General features: G+C 36.4%; 1 pseudogene; it reads left to right on the forward strand.

Moving 5' to 3' along the window:
• RCC2P5 (regulator of chromosome condensation 2 pseudogene 5) lies at nucleotides 12522-13954 on the forward strand (annotated as a pseudogene).

Raw genomic sequence — 15904 nt, forward strand, 5'->3', positions numbered from 1 at the left:
AACAATAATGCTACGCATGTTATTTTATAATAGTTACATAATTAATGCCACTTTAAGAAATAAAAATTACACTAGAATAATATCATTGATTTTCAAGACCCAAAGAAAAAAATATTTTTGTATCACATGCTTCTGAAACAGACAATTATGACATAATTGTTTCTTTTTAATTTCTTATTTAGAAAACAGAATTAGTATATAGTCTAAATTTATTTCTAATCAAAGACAGGACAGGATCAATGTGTGACTGATGAAACAAGCCCACTTCATCAATTGACCATGTAACTCTGCAACTTGATTAATTACTTTGGGTTAAGAACTAAAATAAAAATAAGTACATAAACTCTATATATTTACTTTAACTTTGGAATGAGAGAAAAGTATTAGATACAGTGAATATGTGTGTGCGTGTGTATGTGTATTTGAGTTAGTGTTTATATGTGTATATTTGATACACACATCTGTGTGTGTATATATACACATATACGTATACTTGTGTATATTGTTTAAATATTATGTATATACATGTGTGTATATATATATATATATGTATGTATTCTCTATGCTTATATTGAAAAGAATAGAGTACTTCAATTTTCCCAAAAAGGTAGAGGTTTGAGTTTAACATAAATGAGCTATCTTCCCTCTCAATTTCCTCTGTAACATAAATTAACAGCCAGGGCAAGAAAGCTAATAAAACAGGAAGGCTTTTAATAAAAAAAAAAAATGATTACAAGTGACAGAAAACTGAACATTTTAAAAGTCTGTAATGAAAATACCAGTGTTGGCAAATATGTGGAAGAAATAGAACTCTCATGTATTGCTGATAAGAGTGGATTATTATAAATGTTATGGAAAATTGTCAGCATACTCTAAAGCTGAAAATATGCCTACCCTTTGACCTGGTAGTTACATGCTCAGGTATACACCAACAGCAATGCATACATATGTTCACTAAAAAAAAGCTTATCAGCAGAAAAATGGATAAATTGTGTTATATTTACAAATAGAATCCATTATATCAATAAGAAAAAACAAGCTGTAACCACAGGACAACATTAATGGATTGCAAAAACAAGATGTTGAACTAAAGAATTCAGAACAAAAAGGTCATATATTCCATTCATATATAATATCAAAATGGCAAAACTAATGTATACTGTTAGACAACAGGATAGTGGTTTCCCTTGAATGTCACCGATTGACTGGAAGGGAGCATGAAAGGAGCTTCTGAGGTGATGGTAATGTTCTCTTTCTTGATCTACAGTTGAGTTATGCAAGTTTATTCAGATTATAAAAATTCACTATTTGTGATATTTCAAAAATTACTTTTTAAACTTCTTAGCAAAGAGATACATTTATTTTTTCACATAATTGAAAAATTCAGATTACGTACAAGGCTGGAGACAACCTGCTTCTCAGGAACACAAACTCTGCCTGTGTTTTCGCCCTTTTCTCCTCTGTGCTGATTTACAAAGCTATGTGTAGTGCAAAGAGTACTTCCAGGCATTGTAGATCTTTCCTTTCAAATATAAATTCAAAAGAGACTAAATTTCTCCTTCTATAAATGTCTTCTTCCTCAACAGACTATATTCAGCTTGGTAATCATTATTTGAGTCCATCAATAGAGTCACCTAGAAGAGAATGTGCAGAGGACTATGGATTCAGTCAAACACCCTCACATGAAAGTTGGTGTGGGGGCATTTTCTTCCAGACCACATAGACTCAAAAGTGGAAAGAAGATTTTCTATTTTTTTTTAAAAGAGAGAGACAGCAAACAAGCAAAAGAACATGGGTTCTTACGAGAAATAGGGTGAATGCTATCTATCACAGGTCAAGATATCTCTCAAATCTAGAATAGGTTTGATTTGACCTTTAGGGCCTGCACTTTTCTTATATGATTAAACTAATGGAGAATTTTGAGTGTCACAAGGGAAAGTTTCCAACTGACTTGCTATCATGAGTGAGATGCTTAAAAATCCTGGAGAGCCATTAATGTTATCTGCCATGCTGGGCTGAGTTACTCCCAGTTCCTGTAGTGTCTAATGTGTCCTAGCAGGAATTATTATTGCTTGGATATCATTGTGTTCGAAAGCAAGAGCGATCAAAGAAAACCAGAAGATGCAAAAAACAGAGAAGAAAACAAAGAAGAGCAATTTCACAAGAAGTAGAACTTATGGAAATGCCGGATGAGATAAATAAACAAAGAAATATGATCTGTCAAGTATATCAGGTATAAAACAATTTGTGGAACAAAAACAAGAAAAAAACTTTTCAACTTAAGTGTTTCCATAAACTAAAAATAATAGTTATGATTAAAAGTTGACCAGGAAGATCGATTGAAAGAATTCCAAAACATGTAGAAACAGCATAAATGACGGCAATCGCTAGTGAAGAGATGAGCTATTGAAAGCAGACAGGAGAATTTTAATGTGTATAAAAGGAAATCCTGAAATAAAATTAAAAAGTGATAGAGAGAGGTAATATTTAAACAAATAAAGAAAATTTCTTTTGTTTGAAGAAAGATGTATGCCTGAAGATTGAAAAGGTTCCCTGAGTCCCAGAGACGATTAATAAAAAAGGTCATTTATTGAGACATATCCTTGTGAACACTTTGAATTCCAACAGTAAATAGAAAGTCTTATAAGCTTCTATAAGGAAGTAATTTTCAAAGGAAAGTAAATCTGGCTCATATCTGTCTTCTTTATAATATTAAACTTAGCCAGTTAATGAAATATTATCTACTGAGACAAAAGGAGAGATATCCAAGTTACTATTCACCCATCAGAGTAAAGGAATGACATTTTCAGAAATACATGGATTCAGAAACTCTATCAGCAATGTGTTCTGAGGAGAATAATCATGAAAATACAATAACCAAACAACAATTAAATCAGAACTGAGACATCGTAAAAGATTAAAATCATAGTGGAGAAATGGTGGTAATGTCTCTGCAATTTATGTAATTGACTCTAAATGGATAATGCTATTATGATTGGGAAATTGTAACAGTGCTTTAAAATAAAGTTTCTTTAAAAATTAGACACACTCAGGAAAAGCTTAAAAATAGGTTTCAGTGAAATCCAGGGCCTTGAAACTATGAGGAATGGAAAAGGAGTAAAAGCATTTAGCTTTCACATCTAGGATAAGTAATATTAAATTTTACAAAAGCTATTTTAATTTCATAGAAAAGTAATTACACATGACAAAACATTTCAACAACATATATAGCCCCAAAATGGTTCAATGTGTAAGACATCAATATTAAGTTAAATATTTCATTTGTCTTGATAACACCACGTATTTAGAAAATTACTATCCATAATATCCATGATATATTATTATGTGGGGAAAGTAGTTTACAGAATTATATTAGGGAAGTAACTAGTTTACTTCATTTTGTTTTTTAATATCAAATAGCAATACTATGCTTAATAATAGAAATATTGGGTTTTCATTACATTCATTACATTTAATTTCACTGTAATTTCATTAGATTGAATCCAAACCATGGGCAAGAGATCTAGGGATAAAATACAGACATCAAGGAACAACACGTAAGATGCTACTGTATTAGTTTTCTATTGCTACAGTGACAAAGCACTATAAAGTTATTGTTTTAAAACAATAGAAATGTTTTCTTTTACATTACTGGAGATCAGAAGTCTAAAATCAAAGTTACATTCCTTCTGGAGTCTTCAGGCTATTTTCTGCTTCTAGAGGCCCCTTGCATCCTTTGGCTCATAGGCCCTTCCTCCATTTTGAAAGTGTATCACTCCAACCTCTGGTTCTGAGTGATACAACATCATACTTTAATCCTCCTGTCTCACTTTAATAACCCTTGTGATTACATTGGGACCACCCATATAATCCAGAATAATCTCCACATCTCAAGGTCCTTAACTAAATCACAACTGCAAAGTACTTTTTGCTACAGAAGTTAATATATTCAAAGGATCCAAACATAAGGATGCAAACATCTTTGGAGGGCTAGTGGCTATTTACTACAGTTATTAACCACCACATTGCATCAATACTATAATGTCCATTGGCTGAAAAATCTTAATAAATCTACTAACATTTTCCTACTAGGCCATAAATATGAATACTTTGTACTCAAGATACAGATGAGTCAAGATATAGAGTTAGGGCAATGTTTTCAGCTCTAAAACAACAACAAAAGAGCTATCTAGTAGCAATTTTAAAAAACTAATATATTTATACAATTTCAAAAAATGAAGAGGAAAAGAAACTAGTTCAGAATATTTTCTGATTATTGTATGTAATAAAAGAAAAAGATAATAAACTATGACACATGTAAATTAAGTATAAAATCTCCACTCTTAAATTATGAATAACACTGAAAGCCACCTTAATCATGTGAATTACATGCCTAAGTATAATTTGATTGAATATATTATAAATCATACAACTTTAAATGTGCCTAAGACTTTTCATTTTGGGGAAATAAAGAGATTCATTTTTACTTAACACATCAATTAAAATTTGTAATTGCCATTATATGTTAGAATTCCATTAATGGCTAAGCAAATAAATATTTTAATCATAAAATTTAAAATCATAATTAAACTGTGATAAAATATAAAGTTAACTATAGAAGGTTTGAATAAAACAAAAAAAAATCTCATCAAGCACTTTGCTTTTGATTATCCTGCTATTGATCTCTTCTATCGGTAAGTACAGTACCTAGAATTTCAGAGTTTTGTTATTGGAAAGAGATTGGCAGTTGTTCAAGTAAATGGGTTCCCTTTACAAATCAGCAGAATAAAGTAGAATAATTCAGTGATTTATACAAGGTCATAACACTAATTAATGTTAAATAATATCTCTAAATATATAGTCTTATAAAGCAGACTTTTTCTGAACACATTGTGAAAACTCATTTTAACACATTAGTGCTATTTTGTGTCTAAGGGGTTTGAGTAGAGAATTATTTTACTCTGTTATTTTTTTCAAGAGGTTTTACTCTTACATAATAGTTGACTTATATCCTAAAAAATGCTAACATGGCAAGCTTAGTTCACTATCTTTCAGTTCAAAAAAAGTCTATTTACATGCTAAGAAATATTAAATTTTACAAGTTATTTTAATTTCATAGAAAATTAAGTATAGATGACAAAACATTTAAACAACATATATATCCCAAAATTGGTTCAATGTGTAATATCAATGTTAAGTAAAATATTGCATTTGTCTTGATAACATCATGTATTTAGAAAATGATTATTCATGAGTAAATGTATATTCCATATAAAATGTCTATAGCACTTATTAATTCTTTATGCTTAATGAAATGTCTTATTTCCTAGATTAAAATGTTGTTTCATCGACTTGTTTTATATTTCACTATGGCAGAATAAAAATGTAAACATTTCAATAACAAATGCTTTTGAAGGAATGCTAAACCCATTGGAAGATAATTGCTGTAAGTAATTAAATATCCTCATAACGGGTACCTTCAGCATTATATTTATAATATTTTTGGAATGTCAAAATATATATATATTTAATAAGTATAGCTGAAAGTTAAATTTGGTGGTCAATTTTAAATTAAATAATATAAAGTTGATTCTGAAACTTTTGTGCAAACCTTAAAGCATCTGGACCATTAAAAAATTTAATCTTTCAAAATGACATCTCCCAAAAGTGATGAATATTGGAGTTTGTTTTAACTTCATGTTATTTTATTGGCTACATTGGTATAGTCAGAAATGTCCAAATATTTGAATTGGTTTTACCTTTGTGTTATTTTATTGGCTACATTGTTTAGTATAGTCAGTATGTCCTGAGACATCATTAAAGAGATTCTTTATTAGAAATAAATGTATATGCTAAAGCCTAAATAAGCATATTACTTTTTATAATACAGTATACTTTGAAAAATTTTAGAAATAAATTTAAACAATTAATTACATAATGCCTTACTACTGAGTATTACATTTGGAGTTAGATACATGCTGAGACTCCATCTATAGAATATAAGGACCAAACAACAAAACCGATCTGAGAGAAGAAGAGGAAGAATAAGGAAGAGGAAAGAGGAGTGCTATGGACTCAATGTTTGTGTTACCCAAAATTTGTGTGTTGAAGCCCTAATCTCTAATGTGATTGTATTTGGAGGTGGGGCCTCTGGGTGGGTAATTAGCCCTAGATGAAGTTATGAGGGTGGAGCCTCCATGATAAGACTAGTGTTGTTATGAGAAGAGGAAGAAACCAGTGCTCTCTCTCCCTCTATGCCATATGAGGACACAGAGATAAGGCAGCCATCTACAAGCCAGGTAAGAGACTCCGGCAGACACTGACTCTGCCATCTGCCAATGTCTTGATCTTAGGATTCCTGACATCTAGAACTGTGAGAAATAAATATTTGTTATTTTAGCCACCCAGTCTACAGCATTTTGCTATAGCGGCCCAAGAAGACTAAAACACAAAGGGAAAGGGGAAGGGCAAAAGAGGAGGAAGAAGAGGAGGAAAAGAAAGAAAATCTTGGTAAAATTTACTGTTAGATTGCAGGTTGAGATAACCTGATTAACTGATACTTTTGCTTTTCAACTGATGATATCAGTATTGTGTCAAGAAAGCCAAAATAAGTTTCCATCAAATCATCTGTACATAAAATACTGCTGTTTAATAGATAATAATGTTTATATAATATAAAGCACACTATTTGTTCATTTATAATTCAGTACATTATGTACTTATATATCTTATTCTACAGGTATAATGCACAATAAGATGAATGAACAATGATGTAGCCACACATCTCTGTCAATGACAGAATGCATACACTGAAATGTATTTGTCAAAAGTCTGCCCCCGAGGTAAATGCACATGTAACTGTAATTCTTATAAACATCCTTATGATCTGAGAAGTGACTCTATACTGTCTTGCCTTAGGGACCCCTCACAGATTCCTACTGTGAATCAATGATTCCTGATTACTGTGATCCCCAAAACTGCAACTTCCTTTACCTCTAAAAGAGGGTTAATAATAGTCACTGTTTCACAGGAGTTTTAAGGATTAAATACGTCTTGCATATAAGGCACTTAGCATGATGTCTAACACCAAGTAAACACTTTCTATATGACAGAAATTTATTATTTATCTATCTATTTCCATATTTAATGTCTAAAATGGATTTAGCTGTACATTTTCTAAGGTATTAGATATTTGAAATCTCATTAGCCAGTGTAATGGAGCGAAAAACATAACCAATGAAAACAATGGATAAGCATATTTTAAACCCATAGCTAGATGTTTGATGGATAGAGTTGTACTTTGTTTAATACACTGTTATGTTTCTTGTGAATCTTAGAGATGCTCTATCAAACATAGAAATAGTATCAGGAACTCAGCATTCATTGATGAATTATAACTCCTCTAAAAATTTATAGTGAAATGTTTATTTTGCTTTATTATCCTAATTCAGCCTTTTAAGTGAACAATTTTTAATTTCCCTAGAGTAAAATTTTATAATGAACTCTGTAAGACAGGAGAGTATATACAGAAAATTCATTTACACTTAGCTTGTTAACAGTTCAAGTATTAAAGAGGGATTCATATATTTGAATTTATTTTCTAAGGGAATCTCTTTAAATTCAAGTATATTTCCATAAATCTGTTATGTTAGTCCTCTCATAAGAATGTCTTCCAAAACTATAATGTCAGCATAATTTTAATCACTGGTATTGACTTTCTTCTAGTAAGGCAATGGTAAAATGATACTCTACTAATTTTCTCAGATTCTGGACAATTCAATACAATGAAATTGTAACTTATCTTGTAGAACTCTAAATCCTAAAAGACTAAACCCAATTTCCAAAAGTTTTTAACTTAATATCACAGTAAATATTGGAGGAAAAAGTTGTATTATTGAAGTTTCAAAGCTGGTCAATTCGTTTTTCATATTTTCAAATTTTAGAACAGTTTTGGATTTAAAAAAAAATTGTAACAGCTTTCCCTATTATAAACAACTTATATTAGTGTAGTACATTTATTAAAATTAAGAAACCAATATTGTTACATTATTATTAAAGTCTATGCATTATTCAGGTATTCTTAGTTTTTACCTATTGTCTTTTTTCTATCCCAGGATCCCATCCAGGATGCCTTCACTACATTTCGTTGTCTTTTCTCTTCAGGTTCCTTTTGGCTGTAACAGTTCATATTTAATATTTTTGACTGATTTTCCAGTAGTTTTGTTTTTTTAAATTTATTCCTTAAATTAGTCTTTCCTTTGGAATATTAAAGTTTATAGTAGTAGACATACATTAGTATTCTTAGGAGGACTGGTGGACTCGGATCTATATTGATCTTGTCTTTGAAGATCAAACCTATTAAATCTCAAATTTGTTTTGTACTAGAGCATTCTTCACACAAACACTTGTGTCACTGAGAATTAATTGATCTTCTTACTATTAAATGCAAGTTAGCTCAGCTATTGTGCATGCAAATAATTTTTTCTTGTAACTTTTGCTGTCTCTGGCAAAGAAATAAATAGAATTTATTTCTAAATTATCCATAAGTATAGATACAACATCTTCTTACAATGCACTGGTACTCGTATTCGAATCTTAATATGACTAAACATATAATAACATCCTATTGAATCTGTTGCAGTTCTTAGTGGTGAAAACTGAGGAATGAAAACATTTAATTTTTTTAAAGGCCAGTCAAGAATATGCCCTTTCATTGAATTTGTTCTGCAGAGCAGATATCAGAAAGAGGGCTTAAATTTAAGTGAGGGGCATAAAAATTCACTATGAAAACATTTTTGCAAACATGTGCATCAATAGAAAACCACAAATCTGTTAAAAATCATTTTATATGGAACTTTCTAATAAAATATGAGGGTATATAACAAAAAAAGTCTCTAATGGCTGAAAGAATAGAGGAAGTACTCAAAACTGCCTAAATTATTCCCTTAATTAAGATAGTACACTGAAAATTTTAGCCTAAAGTTTGATAGAAAAATAAAATCAGAAATTACTGTGAAACAGCATCACACTCAAGAAGGTCCAGCATCCAGAGGAGAAAAAAAATTCATTAGGATCATTCCAAATATAATGGCAATAAAATAAAACTGTTGAAAAGATAGAGACACTTGAACAAAAATTTAACAGTAATTCTTAAGAAGATTCAAGTACAAAACACACACAGACAGAAATTCAAACTTCTTTTTGAAAAAGAAAGTTTGAATTGTTGATATCTCTCTAAACTTCTAAAACAAATATCTCTATGTTATTTTAAATACTGATGGCAGTGATGGCTCCAGATGGCCTGCCACTGCCATCACAGCAGCTGCAGCAGGGAGGCCAGGGCTGCACGCTCCATGGAACCAGTGGGAGCTGGGGACAAGCAGAAGCCCCACCTCTTCCAATCTGAGGTGGAAGCAGCTCCCCAGGTGATGGGTGCTGCTGCAGACCCAAACCCTGGCTACATACCCAGGCCTCGCACTCCACAGAGCAGGCAGGACCCCCATCCCTCTGGGCAGGGCTACAGCCACCCAAGTTGTGGCTGCAGATTCAAACCTCCCTGTGCTACTGGGGGACCAAGAGCAGGCAGAACCCTGCCCTCATTGGCCCAGCTGCAGCTGCCCAAACCATGGCTGCAGACTTGAGCCTCCTGCTCCACAGAGCAGACAGGAGCCAGGACTGCCTCCCTCACTCTGCCTTTGCAGGCTGAGAAGTGCTTGCTCAAGGGCATACTCTAATCTGGGAGCAAAGTCTGGTGAACCTTGGCACCATAAAGGCAGCAGGAAGCAGATTCCTGGGCAGAAGGGGGAGGGTCCCTGGTGAGGCCCCACTTTCAGGCCAAGGAGGGCCTGAAGGCTGGGGGCAGACTGCCAGTCCCACAACCAGAGTGGGATCTTGTGGTGCGTTTGCCACCAGCCCATTGCCTCCCATGGACCAATTGACATGCACTTCCTCCCATCTGAGGCCCATAAAGGCCCCAGGCTCAGCCAGAGCTCAGCAGATGACAGGAGGACCAGCTGCAGAGAGGAGCTACCCTCCCTGCTGAGAGCTTCAGAGACCTGCAGAGATGTCAGGACTACCAGCTACAGAGAAGAGCAACCCACTCCAGGGCCTCCTCTCTGCTAGAAGCTGGGAAGACATTGGAATGATCAGCAGCAGAGAGGAGCCACCCTCTCCAGGGCTTCCTCTCTGCTGAGAGCTGCAAACATCTGGACAACCTGCCTACAGAGAGGAGCCACCCTCTCCAGGCCTCCTCTCTGCTGAAAGCTGCAGACGTCAGGATGACCTACCTACAGAGAAGAGCTAACTACAGTGGGTCTCCTCCTAGCACTCCTAACACTCAATAAATCTCCTCTTCATTTTGCTCACCCTCCACTTGTCTGCATACCTCATTCTTCCTGGATGCAGGACAAGAACTTGGGCAGAGGTGCCACTGGCCACAGAGGTTTGTGGCCAGAAAAGTGACACCCAAAGATTCCGTGATAATATCACTTTTTTTTTTTTTTTTTAAAGACAGAGTCTCACTCTGTCATCCAGGAGGCTGGAGTGCAATGGCAGAATCTCGGCTCACTGCAACCTCTGCGTCCTAGGTTCAAGTGATTCTCCTGCCTCAGCTTCCCAAATAGCTGAGATTACAGGTGCCCACCACCATGCCCAGCTAATTTTTGTATTTTTAGTAGAGACGGGGTTTCACTATGTTGGCCAGGCTGGTCTCAAACTCCTGAGCTCAGTTGATCCGCCCACCTCAGCCTCCCAAAGTGCTGGGATTACATGCATGAGAACAATACTTTCACTTTAACAAGCCCATATTACTTTAATTCCAAACTAGTATGACTCCAATTCCAAAACTAGATTATAATGGTATAAAAATAAAACTACTAATCTCATCTGTTAGTCAAAAAATATCAAGTAAAATATCAGTAAACTGAATATAGTAATTTATGAAAATAATATCATTCTAAAACTCTCACAGACAATTGTCATAGCAGTAGCAGCCAACACCTTTGGCACACTTGTCTTCTATCCTGGTAACTTCGCACAGTCAATAGCTCAAATCTCCATTTAGAAAGCAGAGCTTACCTACCAGCCTCCCTGGCTTCCACCTATAGGAATCTTTGATTCATAAGAGAAGGCGTAAGCATACAAATTTCACTTTGTTGTGGGAGAAGGAGAAAGAGACTTCAAGTTATAAAATCTAAAGTAGCTAAACTCCTGAAAGAAAGTCCCTTTGTTCAGCATCATCAGAATATTGTTTATTTTCTTCCATATCTGTGCCCAGCTTAATTGGACCCACACCTGCAAGCAGAATGTTGATGAAATTTGTGCATTTTTCAATCTGAAAGGCTCTGAACTCTACTGGAGACTTACTGAATTGCTAATACACTACAATAAATTTATTTTCTTTCTGCTTAAACTTTTCAGAAGTGGATCTGCTATTTGCAAGGAAGAATTGTGACTGAGATGAGCTGTTTAAAATAGTAATTCAAATATCTTTAAATGGTGGGCAATTTATCAATAGATTTATTTCATCAACAAATTAAGAGAAAACACATATGATTACATTGACAATGCCAAAATGACAGTTGATTATGCTGAAAATATGTGTAGTAAACACCTAAACAAGATAGCAGTAGACTTTTTCACCAAAAGGTTAATGACAATCTTGTTCAAACTCTATATATATTATATAAATGTAAACCACTATTTAGCTATAAAACCAGCAGTACATCTGGATATATATGTAAAGACATAGAGAGTAGAAATTTTCATACTGACAAAAATTGCAAAGTGAATGTCCTTCAATAAGAGAATGGTTAAATAAACAACGACTTATCTCAAAAATGCAACATTATTAAGCCATTTAAAAGAATGATTATTCCAAATGATTTAAAGTAATTCCATCAGGTGTTATTGAGTGAAAATAGAAAGATACAGGTTAAAGTGTGAAATATTATCTTCATGTTTTAAAAAAATCAAAACACGACCAAAACATTCCACATATATATATACCATATAAACACATACAAACATGTAGAGAGTTACATAACTCAAAAGAAGAAAAGGAAGGAACAAACCTTCGTTCTTTAGCATGGATTAGAGCTTGGTCATGGGATGGGGAGAAGTTAAGGAGGGAAGGACAGGGGTTTTTATTGGAGTAGGTGGAAGATGTTAGGGGTGGTAAAAAAAAATTTAAGGGGAAAAAAGAAATAGAGATACAGAAAATACAAAAATAAAAGAAAGATGACATCAAAACATAAAGCAGCATGTATATAATTCCCTTCATGTAATTTGCAAGCATTGAACATAAAAGATATAGTTTCTTCATAGCATAAGTATATGTAGGTAAATATTGTGAGAAGTTTCCTAAGTGATGACTATGTGCTTTTGGGATGGAACATGATAGAGCATGATCAGATCATTGCTGTTTGTTTTTACTCTTATTTTCATTGTCAGCCTTTAGTGTTATTTGACATTTTAAATTACATGTATTCTTTTGAGAAAATTAATACAAAATAGTTTAGATTTCTCCCTCCAGCCATGACCATATCCAGGAAGAAGGCGGGGGCTGCCGTCTGTCAGAAGCCTCCCTAGGGCAACGGCTCTGCCTTGCTGGGCCCAGGAAATGAAGCAGGCACTTCCAGCAAGAGGCACACGCGGCGGAAGCACTGCAACAGCAGCAGCGGCAAGGACAGCAGCAACGACCTTGAGGACGGTCTGGAGCTCCACTGGGCCCCCAGTGGAGACGGGATCAGGCATGCAGCAGCAGGCAAGGGCGGGCAGCGTGGCTGTGGTCATCACTCAGCCTAAGTACACCAAGGAACACATCAAACTTGAAGGGTCGAAGTACAATGGGCAACTTTTGATTTGAAGGGCAGTCAACTGGGACTTGACTGGTTGAAAGGAAGTGCCTAAACAGCAAAAGCTGCTTACGGCAATCTCAGTCAGAATTTGTGAGGGGCCTCAGATATGTGGGTACCTGGTAGTGCCCAGGTGTGGGCAGTGGTTTCTGGTTAGTGTGCTGCTCACAGCCTCCTCATCACCATAGAAGGGAAGCTGTGGAGCTGCTGTGGACAAGAGAAGGGGCATCTGGGACATGACAACACCAAGAGAGAGGAAGCTCCCAGACTCATCAAAGGTCTTAGCCATGAAGTGATCCTGCCGGCAGCATGTGGGCAGAACCACACACTGACCTTGACAGAAACCAGCTCCTTGTTCACATTTGGGGAGAACAAGATGGCATAGCTGGGTCGTGGTAACCAGACAGATGCTGTCCACAGCTTGGCACAGACAAGGTATAAAGGCCAGCCCATTACCAAAATGACCTGTGGAGTTGAATTCAGTGTGATAATGGACTGCAAAGGAAACCTCTTTTCCTTTGGGTGCCCTGAATATGGTCAGCTGGGAAACAATTGGATGGGAAGTTCATCACCCCGATGCAGCCATTAGAATATTACTGAAAACTGGTGCCCCTGCGATTGGCTGTCTTCATCCAGAAAACAAAAGATGGACAGATTCTGCCTGTACCAAATGGTTGAATGAGACACAGCCTGTGGCACTAACTACACGCTGGTTTTGGACTCCCAGAAGCAAGTCTTCTCAGGGCTTCATTGGCTATGGCTGGCTGGGCCACGTGGAGCAGAAAGTTGAGACTGTTCCCCCTCGCCAGGTGAAGCTGTTTGACTTCCCTGGGCGTGGGGTGCCCCCAGATCTATGCTGGTTATGATGGTTACACGTGCTCTTTGCTGGCAGTGAAGTGGGTGGTCTGTTTATCTGAGGGGCCACCAACACCTCCTGTGAGTCTACCATGTACCCCAAAGCAGGGCAGAACCTCTGTGGCTGGAGAATCTGGAGCCTGGCTTGTGAGAAGAGCAACATCATTGCATAAGAGCATCACCAGCTGGGGCCCCGTTGCCAACATTCAGGCAACTGGCCTGCAGGGACCAGAAACCAAACTCTTTATAGTTCCCTGTCCAGCCAGAGCCTTGTCACAGCAGTTGCCAGTTAGAGATTTGCCAGCTGTCAAGTGCATTCTCTGGTCCTTACAAGAAGGATCAGCACTTTATGCATCAGTCTTTATTGCCTTTAGGCTTCAGTCTCTCTTTCCCGCAACCCAGACACTGACTAGTACTGGCCGTCCTGTTTCTGAAACTGGGAGTAGTGCTCTTCACTCAGCTCTCTTTGGTCTCCTTTGCTTGGCTCTGGTACCAAATAGTTGGGATTACTGAAGAGTCCCTTTCCTCACTTGTCAGCACTGATGCTGTGACCACTACCTGTATCCCAGTCAAGTGCCCTGTGCTGGAGCTTGGCACAGTGCATGCTGTGCAGCATTAGTTACAAGGTGCCCTTCCCGGAACCCTCCACTCACTTGAGCTCAAGAGAGGAAACACCTCTGGCTGGAGGGTCCTTGTTTCCAGAGAATTTGGGTTGCTTTGGTTGCTTTAAGGTAATTAATTCAGTGGTGCTTTTGGGGGAGATGAGAATAGAACTTAAGTGTGAGACTTGGGTGGATGGGCAAGTTAAATATTGGTCTTTTCAAGTTATTTATTGCTTTTTTGTTACCACTTGTCATTGTCTTCATGTTAAAATACCAAAAATGACTTGGCTGTTGCTTTTTTCTCTATTTTCCACCCAGTCCCTCCTTATGGTGACTTCTTCCCTTGCAGGGGACTTAGCAGTATCTGTCTGGGCCAGTCCCAAGGCCTTGTGGCAGGAAACCAGCCTGCATCTCTCTAAGACTTAATCTGACTATGTACTCATCTCTACTGTCCTATGTTCAATCAGGAGTCATGGGAGAAGCTTCTGCAACTTCAGAGCTTTGCTAAACTAACCTAATTTGTCCAAATCACCACAAAAGCACCATCTCCGACTCAAGCTTCCATGTGAAGGCCTAATTGGCTTCCCCGAACATATCTCTTTCCTGGAACGTGGCTCAGGGATCTGTGTTTCTTGTACCCTGGAGGTCTCCTTTGTTGTGTAGTCACCAAGAAGGTTGAGAAGGCAGCACCAAGCACCCTGCCTTTGCAGGAGATGCCCTGGGCGGGGCTGGGCTTAGAGCTTCCAGTGGACTCATGGAAAGCTGGCAGCTAGCCTTTTCTATAACCCTTGCCAAGGACTGGAGCAGGAAAAGGATCTTTCAAGTGAAGACTGGCTCGCCCCTGCCCCATTCCTTTTGGCTGATATTTCAAAACAACTTCCTGATGTGTTAAATCCTTTAGAACAAGGAGTTGGGGTAGGGGGAGGGGTGGCATGCACTCTTAAAGAAAGGTATACAGTGGCTCTGCTGGGAATATGGCATGGTGCTGACCCCACGAGCATTTGACTGATCTTCTAGTCAGGAAAGAGAATTTGAAAGAGGCTTAGAGTGAAGGGGAATTGAAGACAGGGTTGTGATTTGGTCTAAGGTGCCAGGTTTAATGCTGTAATTTTCATATATATTTTTTTTTTCTTGGAGTAAACTTTTGAATAAACATTGTTTAAAAAAACAAAAATAGTTTAAAAGGAAAATCAAATACTCTTCATGTGGGCCCTATGTCGTATTTTAACGTCCTTTCTCTTTTTGTGTGTCTGTGACTACACAAAAACACAAACTGAAAAAGAAATTAACAAAAAAATTAAGTTCATGAGAGTAAGATTATTTGTTTTTCCCTTTTTAATTACATTGAAAAGTAAAATACTTACACACATATTTTCGTAGAAAACATGTAATAAGCCCAGCTCTTTTCTCACTCCAAAATATTTTCCCAACAACAAACAAAACTACACTTTTTACATCACTTCTGTTTATTCTGAACAATTTATACCTTACCACTCAGCTGTCTCACATGCCATGCCATTTCCTCCTTCAAGTTTTCTTAGCTCTTCCAAATACATAATAAATTGATTTTCTTAAAAATCTAAACTCTCATAT

The sequence above is a fragment of the Homo sapiens genome, chromosome 3, assembly GCF_000001405.40.
Source record: "Homo sapiens chromosome 3, GRCh38.p14 Primary Assembly".
NCBI classification, from domain to species: Eukaryota; Metazoa; Chordata; class Mammalia; order Primates; family Hominidae; genus Homo; species Homo sapiens.